The sequence below is a fragment of the Homo sapiens genome, chromosome 20, assembly GCF_000001405.40.
Source record: "Homo sapiens chromosome 20, GRCh38.p14 Primary Assembly".
NCBI lineage: Eukaryota > Metazoa > Chordata > Mammalia > Primates > Hominidae > Homo > Homo sapiens.
The window spans coordinates 46,489,679-46,508,915 of NC_000020.11; the positions used below are offsets into that span (position 1 = coordinate 46,489,679).

A 19,237-nucleotide genomic window follows, 5' to 3' on the forward strand; every position below is an offset into this window, starting at 1 on the left:
ACCATATCTTCAAACCAACTGTTCCCACTTTGTCCCTTTTATTACCACTGATTCTGTCCCATGTTGAAATATTTATGTTTTTGAAAATATTACTCATGTATATTTATAAATATTCCACTATATCTATACATTTTTCTAAGCACTTCAGTAGCATCTCAGACTAGAATGAAGAAGATAACAGAAACCTGTGCTGGTTCTCCATCTTATCAGTGGCAGATTTTTTTGTCTGTATTAACATATCTACTATATTTTGTATGTATATAGAAATGCTCAATCTATAATTCGTATGTGTGTAGGAATGCTCAAATTTCTTTCTGCAGTTAACCAGTTTCTAGATGTTTTTATTACAAAAAAAGTGCTAGAACTCATGACACCACAGTTTTATATAAAGGTAAGTTTGATAGTCTAGGGTTATCAAGATACTGGAAAATAATGGTGTGTTCATGCAATATAAGAACTTCAGTGCAGTGCATGTATATACCAAAAATATAATTGGGAACTCTCATTTCTAAGAATCGATACTAGAATATATTTCAAATTAACAAAGATGTAGATTTAAGATTGTTCTTAATGTTCTTAGCAACAACAAAAATAAGTACAACTCAAATATCCAAATAGAGCATCGGCCCAATCAATAATGACCCTGTCGCACAGTAAAACATTCAATATCAAATTGATAAGACAGATGTGTATTTACTCATAAGTATCCCCAATTCTGATGTTCAAAGGAAAATATTTAAAGTGTAATCACTTTCACAAATTGCTATACCACACAGAAATATTTTAAAGGGCCTTAATGGAAACAAAACTTTAATCCATGCTTAGGATTTCACGTGATTCTTTTTAGGTTCTTTAAGCTTTTCTGTTTTGGTTATTAAAATTTCATTCAGCCATTTTTACAATCACAAGTATAATTATTTCAAGTTTAAAGAAATAGAAAAAAATTCAATGGCCACTGTTGATCACTTAAATCATTCTTGTACGTGGAGAAACAATTCTCTGCCTCTCCACCTCCACAAACTCCTACTTCTCATCCTACCCCTCTAAAGTCTCCAGTCACTGCACTCTTCTTTCCCTCGCTTTCCTAATTAACTTGATGTATGTTGCAGTGTCCAGTTCTGATTTTTTTTCTCATATTGTTTTCCTACTAGCATGTCAACCAGCATTGGCAACGTTTCGTGCCCTCAATGAATCTGGGAATGCCTTCAGACAAAGCTTTCACCATGGAGAATACCGAACACATCGTACTTTTGTCCAGCATTATGAATGTGATGACTGTGGCATGGCTTTTGGGCATGTGTCACAACTTACTGGACATCAGAAAATCCATAAGGTAGGGGAAACCCACGAATATGGTGAAAATACAAGGGGCTTTAGGCATCGCTCATCATTTACAATGCTCCAGAGAATATGTACACTATATAAACACTTTGAATGTAACCAATGTGGTGAAACTTTTAACAGACCTTCAAAGGTTATTCAACATCAGAGCATGCACAGTGGACTGAAGCCATACAAATGTGATGTATGTCAAAAGGCCTTTAGGTTTCTCTCATCCCTCTCTATACATCAGAGATTTCATGTTGGCAACAGAGTAAACCTGACTCGGCATCAAAAAACTCATACTCAAAGGAAGCCCTTTTCCTGTAACTTTTGTGGAAAAACCTTTCACCGTTTCTCAGAAAAAACTCAACATCTATTAATTCATACTAGAAAGAAATATTATACATGTAATTATTGCAAAAAGGAATTCAATCCGTACTCCAAATTTATTCTACATCAAAGAACTCATACAGGAGAGAAACCCCACAAGTGTGATGTTTGTGAGAAATCCTTTAAAAGCATCTCAAATCTTAATAAACATCAGAAAACTCATACTGGAGAGAAGCCCTTTTCATGTAATGAATGTAAAAAAACCTTTGCCCAGCGCACGGATCTTGCTCGCCACCAACAAATCCATACCGGAAAGAAGTCTTTTATTTGCAGTAGTTGTAAAAAGACCTTTGTCCGTCTGTCAGATCTAACACAACATAAAGGAACTCATACGGGAGAGAGACCTTACCAATGTACGACTTGTGAAAAAGCCTTTAAATATCGGTCAAACTTTACTAAACATCAGAAAACTCATTCTATAGGGAGGCCCTTTGCATGTAATGAATGTGGAAAGACCTATCGCCTTAACTGGGAACTTAACCAACATAAAAAAATTCATACTGGAGAGAAACCCTATGAATGTGGTGAATGTGGAAAGCGTTTTAACAATAATTCAAATCTTAATAAACACAAGAAAATCCATACAGGAGAGAAACACTTTGTATGTAATCAATGTGGAAAAGCTTTTAGCTTAAACTCAAAGCTTTCTCGACATCAGAGAACTCACAATAAAAAGGAAAACTCCTCTAAAAGCGTCTCAAATCTTAACAAACATCAGAAAACTCATGCTGGAGAGAAGCCCTTTCCATGTAATGAATGTAAGAAAGCCTTTGCCCAGCGCATGGATCTTGCTCGCCACCAACAAATCCATACTGGAAGGAAACCTTTTATTTGCAGTAGTTGTAAAAAAACCTTTGTCCGTCTGTCAGATCTAACACAACATAAAGGAACTCATACAGGAGAGAGACCTTACCAATGTACAACTTGTGAAAAAGCCTTTAAATATCAGTCAAACTTTACTAAACATCAGAAAACCCATTCTATAGGGAGGCCCTTTACATGTAATGAATGTGGAAAGACCTTTCGCCTTAACTGGAAACTTAATCAACATAAAAAAATTCATACTGGAGAGAAACCCTATGAATGTGGTGAATGTGGAAAATGTTTTAACAATAATTCAAATCTTAGTAAACACAAGAAAATCCATACAGGAGAGAAACACTTTGTATGTAATCAATGTGGAAAAGCTTTTAGCTTAAACTCAAAGCTTTCTCGACATCAGATAACTCACAATAAAAAGAAACCCTAAAAAAAGAGGAAGGTGAAGAAGGATATTTAGAGATGACTTACCCTTTGCTAAACTCGAGATCAATGTAGAAAGAATCTTAGTCGAAGCCTAATTCTTCGTGGATTCATGCTGTATGGAGTATCTTGGAAATATAAATATGTAAATGTTGAAGAAATGGAGATGTGATCAGAAATGTACTTTTTTTATTGCACTGACTTGAATCTTTGGCCAAGGCAGGTGGTTCATGAGGTCAAGAGTTCCAGACCAGCCTGGTCAACATAGTGAAACCCCATCTCTCCTAAACATAGAAAAAAAAAAATTAGCAGGGCGTGGTGGTGCACACCTGTAATCCCAGCTACTTGGGAGGCTGAGACAGGAGAATCACTTGAACCCCAGAGGCGGAAGTTGCAGTGAGCTGAGATCGTGCCATTGCACTCCAGCCTGGGTGACAGGGTGAGACTCTGTCTTTAGAAAAAAAAAAAAAAACTGTTAAATGTATTCAACTAAATTTGAAATTGGATAAGGCATTTCCTGTGGTAAGCAGTGATAAGCTAAGAGGCAGCTAGAAGGCTACAGTGAACATTCATTTTGCTGTTTGTCCATAATCTACTTTCACTGGATTAACAAATAGAGGCAGCTATCTAAAGATGCAAACTTTTATAGGCTAGATGATGCAACCCTAATTTAAGCGTAAGTAAGGAAAACAAAAGCCATCTCTTCTGGGTGAATTAGAAGTTTTGGAGAACTTTTGCTAGTAGACAGTGAAAAGCAAAAAGCTGATCATGGATCTGAACTAAAGGGTAAAGAGTTAGGAGGGGTAACATGAGAAATCCAAAGGTCTTGGGTCTGTGGTCAAGATGGTTTCTGCTGTCTTGTCTAAATGGTCGGGCGCAGTGGCTCACGCCTGTAATCCCAGCACTTTGGGAGACTGAGGTGGGTGGATCACTTGAGGTCAAGAGTTTGAGACCAGCCTGGCCAACATGGTGAAACCCTGTCTGTCCCATTAAGAAATAGCTCATTTGAAATAAGTGAAAGAAAATTGAATGAAGAGACTCTTTACAAAAGTGTGGAAAGGGTTGTGGGAAACCAACAAGGGATTTACCATCCCTAGCCCTGAAGGGAAAGCAGGAGCGTGGTGCCTTTGTAGTAAAAACACAAAAATTAGCATGGTATGGTGGCGTGCGCCTTTAATCCCAGCTACTAGGGAGGCTGAGGCATGAGAATCACTTGAACCCAGGAGGCAGAGGTTGCAGTGAGCAGAGATCATGCCACTGCACTCCAGCCTGGGTGACAGAGCGAGACTGTCTCAAAGCCAAAAAATAAGTGGATATAACTAAGACACCCAGCCTCCCTGAATAGTTTGCACCATTCTTATATGTTTCTAGAGAATCAAGAAGAAATGGAAAAATTGCAACAATTCTAGGCTTTAGATTCAGAATATGGAGAACCTATTACTGGGAATATTATGTTATTTGAAATTGATTTCTTGTTGTATGTCTTAAATGCTAAGCTTTCTAGTATATGCTAACACTAGCATGTAATACTGAATACATTTGAGCCTTGTATAGAAGTCGAATTACTTTCCCAAATTTGTTCTCATAAACGTCGGTGGCAACTTGCCTGTGTTTAGCCAAGTGGGATGGGCATAGTTAGGATTGGCCTCAATCCATAGACACTATTCAGTTTCTTCATGCTCTCACCTTTCTTTGCTTTCTCAGATATGACAGGAGCTGCCACAGAGCTCAAGTGTTGTATAATCCCCAGGTGTGCTTCCTTTCCATCTGCCTCATTACTTGTGTGTTGAGGCATCAGTACGTTTATATCTCTAAGGAAAGGTGTATGTGTATATATAGCTCACTTTTTACAAATAACAGACACATCAGTTTTATAGATCTCAAGTTAAATATAAGCCAAAAATGCAACTGAAATAATTTAGCTCAGTACAAAGAAAATATTGTTATGAATATTATAAAAATGGGAGTGGCTATTGGGATAAAGACAAAAATTATACATGGGACCTGTCATCCCTAATTTTGGTCCTTAATATCCTGGGTTAAAGTTAAACAGGAGCCATTTCATATGTTTCAAATACACGAAGACTTTCCAACACAGCTCCTATCAGGTCAAACTGCTAACTCTAAAGTCTAGAGTGAGAAAAGTTTCCTAGGACACACCAGAACAACTTGTTCTGAAAAGCCTCATATCCCAAATTCACCATCACTAAACTCAAAAATTTTTCATTGACATCTAACACTTTCTTCTTTGTATCTCTGCCATATTTCCTAGGCGCTGTCACTAATTCCTAAACCCAATGTCTCCAGTTTTGTAAAAAAGATAAAAGAATAGCCATCATGTAAATGTTAGGCTATTCATAACATTCTCATTGGAAAGTTTCAGCAGAAAGTTTTATATTTTCATTGGGGTTTTAATATTAAAATCACATAACAGTTCTATTGTTTAAGCAAAAATAACAGATGGAGAGAGAAGTTAAATACTTCAATTTAGGCTCAAAATATCATCTGCACACCAATGTAAATGATGCATCTTTTGCATTTAATAATTCCTTATATTTTCATTCTCACATATTTGAGGAGATATAAATCTAACAGAGCGTTTGTGGATTGAATGGAATCCCTCCCTAAAGGTATGTTGAGGTTTTAACTGCCGGTGCTCATTAATGTGACCCTATTTAAAACTAGGATCATTTTGAAGATGTAATCAAGATCAAATCATACTAGATTAGGGTGGGTCCTAAGTTCAATCACTGACTTCATAAGAGGGGACACAAGACAACTGGCTGTTGAATAAATGCTTTAACCCTTTTAAAGATTAAATTATCTCTGAAGATAACTTCCATAGAATGCAAAATTGGAGTCAGCACAGAATATGATCCATGTACCTCATATAAACAATACTAGCCAGTGATTTGATGCAGAGACCTATCTCTTATCCCCCACCTTTTGACCTAAAACATATCTGGCCTGGATAACTTTTAAATTATCATGGGGTATAAGAGTATTTTCTCCATTGTCAGGGAACCAATATGAGGATTCTGCCACTAAGTCTGTCTCCACTGTGCATTCTGGGACTGAGGAAATAACCATGGGATGCACGTGTGTTTCCACTGGCAGAAGCAAACCCTCTGGGAGTTGGATTCAGGCCCAGACTCATCTATCTCCCGACCTTCATAAGTCTCCACTCTGATCATAGGCCACTGTAGTGCTTGGGAACAGCAAGAATTCATATAATCAAAGCCAATATCCAAATCCCCATGGAGGTCTGGGTATGTCCTTCTCCCTCATGCATGGCCACGGTGGTAAATGACCACAGATACCCCTGGGAAGGTCTGGAGGAAGATCTGCATGATGCTTCTATGGCTACATTGCAGGAACCTTCTTAAAAGGTCTTCCTGAAGCCACTTCAGGTCTAGGAATTGGCTTAAGTCTCAAAGTTGAGTAAGGTGCTATGAATTCCCAATATAATCCCATAAGTCATACTTCTGCCTAGGAGACCCAGAAATTGTTCACCTATATGTCAAGCTGCTCCTTCGAAGAAAGCCCATTTTCATTATACGGTCTCCATGACGCACTAGCTGTACTGCCAGGCCCAAACCTGATTACCAGTCTTTCCTAAGGCATGCTGTAACAGTGTCAGCTTTGTTTCCAAAGGTGAGGTGCTGCTGCATGGCCTCTTCCACTCCCCAGAATCTCATTTTCATTTTGAGGATCTGTTTCCTGGGGCCATTTCTGGTACCACTTACAGAATCAGTCCCATCAAGAAATAGCTCATTTGAAAGGAGTGAAAGAAAATTGAATGAAGAGACTCTTTACAAAAGTGTGGGAAGGGTTGTGGGAAACCAACAAGGGATTTACCATCCTTAGCCCTGAAGGGAAAGCAGGAGGGTGGTGCCTTTGAAATCTGTCACTTTGGCTTAGCTGATTCTATGTTCCCTAGAACTCCCTTCCCTGTATGTTTCCAGTGAGGGTGGGTCACAGACGACATTTTGGCGTGAGATCTGGAGGGTGCTCGCAGAGGAGCAATCATCTTGCTTTTATGCTTAGCAAGGCTTCTGCACCCGACACATTTCTTACCTGCTGGTTCTTGTTGGCATGGCTCAGTAGATGAGCCTGTGGCTGCTCTCCTTTCCCCAGGATCTCCTCCAGCTCTTTCAGCTCCTGGGCTAGGTGTGTGCTTAGCAACACCACAAATGGCACCAACCTCTGTAGGACACCCACATCGTTTAGGTAGAAGACAGTAAAAACTGCCACAGCTTTGTCTGTGGGTTCCAGCTTGTCTTTATTCTCTTAGTGTTCACTTTCACTACTTGCTTGGCCTGCAGAATTAAAGTACCAGCATCAGCCATGAGGACAGTCACATAACAGCCTTCCCGTAATAGCCTGGAGTCAAATCTTGATAACAAATTTGTCATCTACAGAACATACATATGGCTCTGCTGCTCTGATTGAACTCTAAGTGATGCAGGAAGGAAATGACTTTTGGGATCTGGGAATAGCTCTAGCTGCGGAAGAGGGCCACAAATAAGGTCTCAACCAGACACCTGATGGCAAGAGACCTCAGCTGATGCAGTTCATAGAGGTCTGCCCCAAGCATGAGGAGTGGGGTAGACAGTGGTTCTGGAGGGACAGAGTATCCAGGAGCATCAGGCTTCTGAAGAATAACACTTGGTCTAGATACGATGGAACAATGTGTTTTAGGATATGCAAAGAAAGTTAGCTGGAGATTTTCTAACCAGTCAGACTGATCTTCAAATATACATAAAGTCCATAGGCAAACCGTTAACATATAATAATTCAGAGACTGATATGTCCATCTTAAAGAATAAGCTATCTTTTAAATTAGACTCCAGGTGAACAGGAAGAGAAGAGGGAAGAAGAGATTACCAACTAATTTCATTATTGACTGACAGTAAGAAACTAATATACTATCTTCCCCCTTATTCCCTGCAAATAACAGGGATATTAAGGCATTATATAAAGATATCAGTATATTAGTAACTGACAGAACAAAAATACAAATGCTCCACAACACTGTAGTGAAAGACAAATGGGAAGATAAAATAATCTGGCAAAACTGAAACTAAATGTGTCATATCAATAACACCAATTTATAAAACTCTCTCATTCTCTCATATAATCTTATTCCCCATTTCATTGAAAAATAGAAACAATTCTAAAATAAATTCACAAACTTCTGTCACATCAACCCATATGTGTGAGCCAGCATGGCATGACCATTGCCTATTTTCTTAAAAAGGCTACCTTTCCCCCTTACACATAGATTCCGACCTATCTCACCTATGCAGAACATTATTCCAAGATTTCCCCGTCTATGGAACATTTCCCTTAAGTGTATAAACATGCATTTATCTCTATCTCTAGAAAGAAGCCTCCTTTGACTACACTTTACTCTCGAGCTACAATGCCATTTCTCTTGCCTTTAGTACGACTTCTTGAAAGGGTTGTTTGTATTAACTGTTTTCAGCGCGTCTCCTCTCACCTTTCTTGAAACCACTGCATTCTTATGGTGGTTGCCTCTGGTAGCTAGCCTGTGAGATGGCTCCAGAGGTCTCTACCTCCTGGTACTCAGGCTCCTGTGTGATACCCTTCCGCAACATATCAAGGTTGGTCTGTGTGACCAATTAAGTACAGTGAAAGTGATAGTTTTCCAAAGCTAGGTTATAAGGGAAACTGTGGCTTTGGATCACTCATTCTGAGGAATCAATGCCGGCTGCCACGTTGTGAGGAACTCAAGAAACCCTATGGAGAGGTCCATGTGATGAAGAACTGAGGTCTCCTGCTAACAGCTGTGGGAGAGAGCCATGGTAGAAGTGGATCTTTCAGCCCCGTCAAGTCTTTACATGACTGCATCCCTGGTCAACATCTTGACAGCAACCTCAAAGACCTTGAGCCTGAACCACCTAGCCAAGTTACTCTACAATTCCTAAACCACAAAAACAATGAGATAGTAAATGTTTACTGTTTTAAGTTGCTAATTTTGGGGATAATTTGTTACACAACAATAAATAATACATTAACCTGTTATGGGGTTGAATTGTCTCCCCAAAATGTGTGTTGAATTCCTATACCCAAGTACCTCAGAATGTGACCTTATTTGGAAATAGGATTGTTGCAGATGTAATTATTTAAGATGCAGTCATACTGGAGGAGGGCAGGCCCTTAATCCAATGACTGGTATCCTTATAACAAGGGGAAATCTGGACACAAACATGCACACTTAGAATGCCATGTGAAGGGCCGGGCGCGGTGGCTCACGCCTGTAATCCCAGCACTTTGGGAGGCCGAGGCGGGCGGATCACGAGGTCAGGAGATCGAGACCATCCCGGCTAAAACGGTGAAACCCCGTCTCTACTAAAAATACAAAAAATTAGCCGGGCGTAGTGGCGGGCGCCTGTAGTCCCAGCTACTTGGGAGGCTGAGGCAGGAGAATGGTGTGAACCCGGGAGGCGGAGCTTGCAGTGAGCCGAGATCCTGCCACTGCACTCCAGCCTGGGCGACAGAGCGAGACTCCGTCTCAAAAAAAAAAAAAAAAAAAAAAAAAAAAGAATGCCATGTGAAGTTATGCTGCCACAAGCTACAGAATTATCAGAAGCTAGGGAAGAGGCCTGGAACAGATCCTTCAGAAGAGAGTATAGCCCTGCCAACACCCCAACCTGACTTCTGGTCTCCAGAACTATGAGATGTATCTGTTGTTCTAGAACATCCAGTTTGAGGTACTGTGTTACGGCAGCCCTAGGAGATGAATACACCCTCTATATCATGTCTTTGTTCTTTGGCTACTTTTAAGATAATCTTTATTAAACTAGTTTTGATTTCTTTATGTCTTGAAATTTGGTGTCTTATTGTGCTCTTCATTTTTATCCTGCTTGGGGTTCATTAAACTTCTTGGACTTGTGAATTTACATTTTCCGTAAGATTTGAAAAAATTGTTCCAACATTAAGAGATAAATTTAGACAAATTTGGCACAAAAATTAGGTATTTTTGTTTTTCTTTACTCTATTAGTTTCAAAGTGAAAGGTAACTTAATTTCTTTCACAATAGCAACCAAATCTTTGAAGTGACTATTAATACATTTCACAGGAAAAGAGCAAGATCAGTATACACATACACATACATTTAAACATATGTATATACTTACATATATTAACACATGTATATGTGTGTATACATACATTTATCTGTCCTGAAGGACATAAAAACTGAATAAATAGATAAATCATGTTCATATTGGGTTCTCTGAAGGGCCCCAAATAAATAGCACAATTTCCCCCCATCTAAACGATAAAAAATTAAGTAGCAGACAGGGGGCAGGATGAAACTTTTATTACTGATCAAATTGAGTTGGAGGATGCAACTTAGTGTGACCATTCAGCTAATGGGCCAATTAGCTGAATGACAGAATTAGACCAATTTACCAATCACAGGCAATATCTGTGACAAGAAATTATACTTGCAGGTCAGCCCACAATGAAGAGGGAGTTCAGCTGAGCAAACCCAGTTACCCATCACTATCTTACCAACTAGATAAGCCCACTTCCTCATGCCTGGGGCAGAATGCATAATGTGGCAGAGAAGCTAGGAATGGGTATAGGGAAAATCCCACTCATGGAAATCAGAACTTGAAAGGTAAACATTTCCCAATAACCCCATAAAAGTGGCAATCCTACCTCATCATATATATCCATATAATGTAATCCTAATCAGCATCCCAGGCGCCTTTTGTTCTCAGAATTTGATCAGTGACTTCTAAACAATACCTCTAATGAACATGTTGATTAGGAAATCCAAGAGATTTTTGAAAACATACTAATTGACATAAACCACTGGTAGATGGGGTTGAGTGGATATTACAGAATACTAAAACCAGAGAAATAAACACTTTTTGGATTCAACCATCATCCAAATTCTCTTTGTTGTTCAAGAATGCTTATTTTCCCATGTTTTTCCTACTGCAATTGCCGTCTTCTTGACTTAGCTGAAAGCTTCAGGATCATGAACTAGTTATCCTGTGCCTATCTTCCATTAGAAAGGTCTTAGGAAGGGCTTTCACTGGCTCAGCTTTACAAAATGCTCACCTGGGGTATAATTACCATGGGTGCATAGAGTACAATGGTTAGTTCTCCTGAGTTGTCACCTTTGCAGATAAAGGTATACAGTCCACTACTAGAAGACTATGGAGTTAGCAGACAACAAAAAATCTGCCAAATCTGAAAATACACCATAAATTGAGAAACTGTAACTTACTCAACTATCAAACAATGGTATTGATTTGAAATGAAGGTCAGATCCTCACACCTCGTAACATACACTATCAAGTAACACTGTGGGGAGGAACCAAGTAACAATTTAACTTAAACAATGTTTGTTTCATTATTTTAAAAGGGAGGCACATTTGGCATAACCTTTGAATTGCTGTTGAATATTTTCATAGTTCACAATGAATAATACATTTATTAAACAAATTATTTCTTTCCTACATGATTTCTCTGATGTTACATTGAGGGTTGACTTATGGCAGAAAAATTTTCCATATTCATTACATTTATAAGATTTTACTCCTCTATACATACTCACAGTTTAGCATTGTGTAAGTTATTTGATTTGTTGCTTTGTTGGAATTTATTACTTTGTTGGAACTTATTCCTTGTGGGATTTCTGATGTAAAAGAAAGTTTGATTTGTGGCGAAATGTTTTCTCACATTTGTTACATTCATAAGGTTTCTCTCCTGTGTGTATTTTCTGATGTTCAGTGAGAGTCCACAGGCGACGGTAGGTTTTCCCACATTGATTACATTCATATGGTTTCTCTCCTGTGTGAATTCTTCTATGGACTCTGAAGGCTGACTTATGGCAGAAGGATTTCCCACATTCATTACATTCATATGGTTTCTCCCCAGTGTGAGTTCGCTGATGTTCAACAAAGGAGAACTTCTGACAGAAGGTTTTCCCACATTCATTACACTCATAGGGTCTCTGTCCTGTGTGTGTTCTCTGATGGTGAGTCAGGGCTGACTTCCTGCAGTAGGTTCTCCCACATTCATTGCATTCATATGGTCTCTCCCATATAGTTCTCTGATGTACAATGAGGTGTGAGTTTTTGCTGACGGCATGCCCATGTTCACTACACTCATAAAGATTCTCCTTTGTGTTCATTCTCTTACACTGACTGCAGTTTGACTTCACAATGGAGATTCTACCACATTTATTAAACACACCATGTTTCTCTCCTGTGTGTGTTCTCTGATGTATAGTGAGTGTTGACTTATGGCAGAAAAATTTCCCACATTCATTACATTCATAAGACTTCTTTCCTCTATGAGTTATCTGATGTGCAATGAGGGCTGATTTCGTACATAAAAATTTTCCACATTGACTGCATTCATAGGGCTTCTCTCCTGTATGACTTCTTCGATGCACATTGAGGGCAGATTGACAAAAGAAGGTTTTCTCACATTCACTACATTCATAGGGTTTTTCCCCTGTGTGAATTCTCTGATGCGCAGTAAGGGCTGACTGACAGAAGAAGGTTTTCCCACATTCCTTACATTCATTTGGCTTCTCTCCTCTGTGAGTTCTTTGATGTACAACAAGATACGATTTCTTGCTGAAGGCATTTCCACATTCCTTGCATTCGTAAGGCTTCTCCCCTGTGTGTGACCTGAAATGTTCAGCCAGGGCTGACTTCCGAAAAAAGGTCTTTCCACATTCATTACACTCATAGGATTTCTCCCCTCCATGAATTTTCTGGTGTACAATAAGGGCAGATTTGTCAATGAAGGTTTTCCTGCATTCACTGCATTCATAGGGTCTCTCTCCAGTATGAATTCTTCGGTGTCGAGTGAGGCTTGTCTTCACACGAAAAGTTTTCCTACAATCACTACAAACATACGGTTTCTCCCCTGTATGAATTCTCTGATGTACAATGAGGGTAGATCTCTTAGAAAAGGTTTTCCTACATTCATTACATTCATTTGGTTTCCTTTCAGTCTGTCTCCCCTTTTGTGTAATGAGAATTGCCCTCTTGAAGAAGGTTTTCCCACATTTATTATAGTCAAACGGTTGTTTCAAAATCTGAATGTTCTGGTGCAGAATAAGATTTTCGTTTTGATTGCTGGCTTTCCTCATTGGATTGTATCTGTATTTTTTCATTCCCAAATGACTTTTCTCATGCTTCCCAAATCCACTGTATCCATCAGGAATCTTTCTGTTTTCTTTGCTTTTCTTTGCAACAATTACTTCTGAATTAGTTTTCAAACTGTTTCCTCCTGGATTACATTTATAGGGCATTTTTCTTGAGGGAACACTATTCATGCCCAGATTAAGTGTTTTCCCAAATACATTCTCTCTTTCTGTAATCAGTGTTTTGTTGCTGAAGAATACAGTTTGTGTCAAATGTTTATCTTGGATTTCCTTGTTCTTCTCTAAGGCATCATCAATGTCTAGAAAAAGGAACACAATTAACGGTAATTGGTGAGCCTTTATATGTTTGCTATGAAATGAGAATTCCTTAGAAATGCATTGTTTTAGGGGTTAGACTTCAGGCCAAGCCTTCCAAGATTAAACAAATTTCAAGTGCAAATATCTCTTACTTGGTTGATTTGAAGAAATACAGAAACAAAAAATACAAAAAAGCAAATCCATCCATACCAGCCACTATTTAACAGGGGGAAAGGAAGAGGAAACTAGCAAAGAATACAAGTACCTTTGACACTTTACAAATACTACTAAACATTGAGTGGAAAAAGTAAATAGTCACAAGGAATAGTACACAAAGTATGCTGGAAGTGTGGCTGATGGAGTGTTGAATAAAACAGACAAGAGTCAAGTAAGCACTTAGAGAAAGATAGTCATACAGTGAGACCAGGTACAACAGATATCAGAAAGATGGTCAGTTATTATCAAAACACACAAGAAGGAAGAGGTAAATCTGAAATTTTTGCAGTGACATGGAACTCTCGAATTTGTACAGTGCAAAGGGAAGTAAGATTGTGGGCTGAGTAGAGCTGGGACTAGAGGAAGGCAAGCAGGATACCCAGGGCACCTGTGCAATCCTGAGAGTTGAGTGTCTTCCTAAATTTTGCATGCCAGGCACCTTGTTTGCCTCACCCTACTCCGGATCCTGGTGAAGCGTAGAATGGAAAGGGAAACCGTGTTATTTCTGTTAAGTGACGTAGAGAAAAATGGAAGACAATTAAAAAGATCATGACAGATCTCTGAATGTCTGAAATATAAACCAAGCCTATGACAATGGTGGGTGGGGCAAGGGAGGCAACAAAGAATGCTACAGAAATAAAGTTTAAGGTGTGATAAAAGAAGAACTTGAATTTTGGGGATAGGTAACTTAATGGCAAACATCTTTATAAATTTCAATTATTTATTTGGGGAGAATGTTTCAGATGTCCATAGCATGACAGTTAATCAACCTCAATCACTTCTAAAGGTCTGGGCCAACAAAAAGAAATTCATGAAAAACATTACGATGCCAACTATTACCACCGACCACCATGGAACTCTCATTTCCATTGGTTCCACCTGCTCAGTTATCATTTACTTACCTGGGTAGTTCTGATTTGAGAATTCCTCCACTATCCATGGCTCTTCTCCTTGCTCCAATTTGAAAATCACATCTGGTTTGCTAACATGATACCCTGTTAATGGGAAATTACAGAACTTGGACCAAGATCTTTGGACATCAGAGACTCTGAAGAATGAAGAAAGTACAGCTTCAGAAGCTGTGCAATGAAGATGCCCAGCAATAGCTCAGTAAAGCTAGAACATTTTGGTGAAGGGTAGGGGAAGGGCAGTGAATACATACACAAACTTCTACTGTCTAAAAGGGTTTAATCTTCTTGCTCCCCTGATGCTCAGGGCTAAATAAATTCTAGAAATCAACATGTTTTTGTAACACAGAAGAAATGTATGCTCTTGGGAGTTGTACAGGGAAATAGTCCTTACCCACAGAGACCAAGTTGCTGTAGTTCTCCAGCATCACATCCCTGTACAGGAGCCTCTGAGCAGGGTCCAGTTGCTGCCATTCCTCTTGGGTGAAGTTCACAGTCAGGTCCTGGAATGAAACTGGTATCTGAAAGAAAATGTTTAATCTTGGGTGACCAAAATTGAGTGATATCAAATGTATGGTAACATAAACTATAAGAAGACCACTGCCATGGCTAATGGAAAGCTATAGAGAGATGTAATTGTGGGAGGGCAGAAAATTAAAAATCTGTCACTGTGTTCATTTTTTAAAATGAATTTTAAAAATGTGCTGAGCTTATACCATGTCCTGGAGCTATTCCAATTGCCTGGATTACTAATCACATAAAATACTAATCTTACTCTTTAGGAGCATACATTCTGACAGGGTGACAAAAATAGAAATGTACATCTTTAAAGAGCAATGCTGGACATATACACAAGATGAAGGGTGATCACAAAAGAAGAAAGCTTGCTCCATTTTTGTTACCCCTTCCTTGAGAGCATAATAATTTTAGTCCTGAAATATAAACAGTATGTTTTATAGGACTGTAGCCATTAAGAATATACACAGACACAAAACACATATGGGGAGTTCGAGAACTACAATCTCTCCACAGGAAAGGTTAGTGAGGAGCGGGACAGAGGTCAGAGAATAGAGGAACTCTTTTCTCTAATTAGTAGTCTTGAAATTTAGATAGTACGGCACATCAGTAAAACATTCTTGCATATACGCTAACGTACATTTACTTAGGAATTGTAGTATATTTCCAAGTGAGTTCCAGCTATACACTAATATCAATAAAGCTTAATTATTTTTTCATTCTTTTGGCTGAAATACAAGAATAGAAGTCCAGTGAATTGCTGGGGTGCTCCCTATCCTCCACTTTGGAGATCACTGTTATAAATAATGGAAATCCATAAAGAGTTATTTGTAAGCAAGGACTGGAGATTTGTGACCAAATGTGTATTTTGAAACAATGCTCTAGAGCATAAGAGTTGGCAAACTTCAGTCCGTGGGCAAAATCTAGGCCACTGGGAGCCAAACGTGGTCACGCTCATTTGTTACACACAGTCTATGACTGCTTTCATGTCACAACAGCTGTGCCAAGGAAATCCAACAGAGACCACAGGGCCAGCAAAGCCAAAAATTTTGACCTTGTCCTCTAAAGAAAACATTTGCTGTCCCCTACTCTAGAAAAATGGAAACTGGCTTAAAGGTCAAATTAGAAGGGAAGAAAACTAAGACACTACTACAGGACATGAGCACAGGTAGTTCCTGGGAAATGGGAAGGAGAGAATCAGTCCTACATAACGGGAGGCAAGGAGAGTTGACCACTACTTGATGTGCAGTAGATGTAATGTGCATATTATTTCACATGATCAGCTGGGCTGACGCTAGTAGTATATGTGGAGATTAGGAAAACAAAACAAAAAAGAGAATCGAGCATAGGAAATGAAGGCACTGATCTTTACCATGCTGTGCTTGAAGTGTCTGTTGAGTAAAGAAGTACAGATATCTAGCTGGCAGTTTGATATATGGTTCTGGAGCTCACAGGAGAGATACCACAGTGATCAGAAGCAATATTTGAAAGCATAAATAATGAGGAAGGTCTCCATGAACTGATATGAAGTGAAAAAAGCAAAGTATTAAAGAATATCTATAATATATTACCTTTTATGTAAGAAAGGAGATGTAAGAAAACACACATGGCCAGGTGTGGTGGCGCACACCTATAATCCCAGCACTCTGAGAGGTTGAGGTAGGCTGATCGCTGGAGCTCAGAAGCTCAAGATCAGTCTGGGCAACACGGCAAAACCCCATCTCTACAAAAAAATAAAAAAAAATTAGCCAGGCATGGTGGCATGTGCTACTCGGGTGGCTGAGGCAAGAGGATCACTTGAGTCTGGGAGTCAGAGGTTGCAGTGAGCTCAGATTGTGCCACTGTACTCCAGCAGCCTGGGTGACAGTGCAAGACCTCATCTCAAAAAAACAAAAAAACCCACATGTAACCACTACATGTGAAAAAAAATTATGGAAAGGATACACCAGAAACTCATGAAACTGGTTACATTCAGGGGAGAGGTGGAGACAGACGGAAAGAATGGACGGATGGGAACAGAGTAGAAGAGATGAGAAGGAGTGACACTTCTCTAAAATATCTTTCTATACGGTTTTGATTCTTAGAACTATGGTAGGCCAGGCGTGGTGCCTCATGCCTGTAATCACAGCACTTCGGGAGGCTGAGGTGGGAGGATCGCTTGAACTCAGGAGTTCAAGACCAGCCTAGGCAACATAGTGAGACCCCATCTCTCAAAAAAATTTTTTTTTTTTTGCCAGGAGTGGTGGCACATGCCTGTAGTCCCAGCTACTTGGAAGGCTAAGGCAGGAGGATTGCTTGAGCTGAGGAGGTCAAGACTTTAGTGAGCTATGATTGCACCACTGCACTCCAGCCTGGGTAACAGAGCAAAACCCAGTTTCAAAAATTAAGTAAGTTAAATAAGCTTAAGTAAGTAAAAAGGAAAGAAAGAAAAGAAAGAGGAAAGGAAAAGAAAGGAGAAATGAAGGGAGGGAGGAAAGACAAGGAAAAGAAAACAAAGGAAAAACAAGGGAAAGGGAAGGGGAAGGGGAAAGGAAATAAAGAAAAGGCTAGGATGAACCCTGCAAAATAACTAGCCAGCAAAGTGTCAAGGTTGTAAGTGACAAAGAAGGACCATCGTGGGTTGCAAGAGGCTAAGGAGACAGGACATTTAACACAACCTGGGTTCCTAGGTTGGATCCTTGAACTGAAAAAGGATATTATGGAAAATAATAAGCAGAATTTGAATACGATAGATAATAATACTGTATTCATGTGAATTTCCTGGTTCTGATCACTATAATATAGTTTTGAAAGATCAGGGGAAGCGAGGTGAAGGAAACACAGGTATTTTGTGTATGATTTTTCTCATTCTTCGTATTTAAAAATAAAGCAGTAAAAAATAGGCATGCTGCCTCCACCTCTGCAGACACCTGGGCTTTGGCCTGCTGTATGTCTCACCTCACCCACATGACCATCCTAGGTCACCCGTCTTTCTTTTCTTTGATCTGCTATACATCTTTCTACTGACAAATTTTATTAGGTAATTTAATGAGGCCTTTCCCGCTATCACCACTTAACTGTCTCTTAAACCAGAAGTAGTTACATTATCCATTTTATTTCTTCCATGAATTACTTCCTCTGAAGGACCTATAAGCTTCCTGAAGATAAAGAGTATCTCATAATTATAGGCACAACAATAGACATATAAGGTCTTAATGACTAGAAAGAATGACTGGCAAAAATATTAGAAACAAAACGCCAGGGAGAAAGAGTGCCAGGGAAGAGCCCTCACTAGAAAGTTCTGTACTTGCTCAGGCAGACCCAGTGCACTTCATAGCAGAAAGTCCAAAGTAAGAACAGTGAAATGTGTTCACTTTGTGAGAAACTGAAAGGTGCTTATGACAAAAGAAAAAGAAACTCGATTCTCCCGGTGACTCAGGTCCATTCTGCAAGCAATACTGTAAGTAGAATGATGATCCATTCAGAGCAGAGGAGAGTTCACCATTTCACACAAAACAAGATTACCCAAAAAAAGAAATGATGAGTACTACTATGAGCAGGGATATGGCTACTGAGGACATGTGCCTACACCTTTAAAGGCTAATAGTCTTACTTGTGAGGTAGACAGATAATGACCAGACCCTACATGTAATGCAAAGAAGAGGGCCAGCATTGCTCTGTAAACACATAGTCTGTGGACAAAGAATATGAGGACAGGAATGGGTCCTGTGACGAGATGGCTCCTGGCTATGTTCACAATGTAGGCAGAAAAGGGGTAGAAAGTCAAGGAGCAAACAGTAGAAACACGGTTAAAAGCAAGAGTGTAAAATTTGGGGCATGTTCAGGAGACTAAATGCAGACCACCATCGTTCTTCAGAGGGGCTCAATGTGGGTGGTCCCTTCCATCAGGGGCATGTGGCACATCTGCGGAGACATTTTTGCCTGTCAGGGTTCTGTGGGATGCTGTTGGCATTTGGTGGAAGGAGAGGGAAGGAAGGATGGTAGAGACACTGCAACATGCAGGACCTTCTCCTACAGGAAAGAAATGTCCCAAGTCCTGTATAACTTTCTAATCTTAAATATTCATATAAACGAAAAATCCTGTTTATAATGATCTGAGCCTAGAACCTTATTCCATTTGGCACTTGAACACATAGTATTTTTATATATTTTTTATGTATATTAAATTTTCTTCAATGTA

The 19,237-nt window shown here is 39.3% G+C and overlaps 1 protein-coding gene and 1 pseudogene across 25 annotated transcripts in view; one reads left to right on the plus strand and one right to left on the minus strand.

Annotated features, from left to right (window-relative positions):
- Positions 1–19,237, minus strand: part of ZNF334 (zinc finger protein 334) — a 51,247-nt gene that overhangs the window by 27,366 nt on the left and 4,644 nt on the right. For 15 of the 25 annotated variants that reach the window (NM_001353816.2, XM_047440281.1, NM_001270497.3 and 12 more), the window contains 3 exons: positions 14,936–15,062; positions 14,536–14,628; positions 9,952–13,419 (listed from right to left, as the gene is read on the minus strand). In NM_001353816.2, the coding sequence (NP_001340745.1) occupies positions 11,618–13,419; positions 14,536–14,628; positions 14,936–14,969 (1,929 nt within the window). In that variant the 5' untranslated portion in view covers positions 14,970–15,062 and the 3' untranslated portion in view covers positions 9,952–11,617. Of the gene's footprint in view, positions 1–3,003; positions 3,240–7,032; positions 7,275–9,951; positions 13,420–14,535; positions 14,682–14,935; positions 16,781–19,237 lie in introns of those variants that run through there. The other 10 variants (NM_001353817.2, NM_001353818.2, NM_199441.3 and 7 more) reach the window with 5 other exon arrangements.
- On the plus strand, positions 1,262–2,614 carry ZNF840P (zinc finger protein 840, pseudogene; annotated as a pseudogene).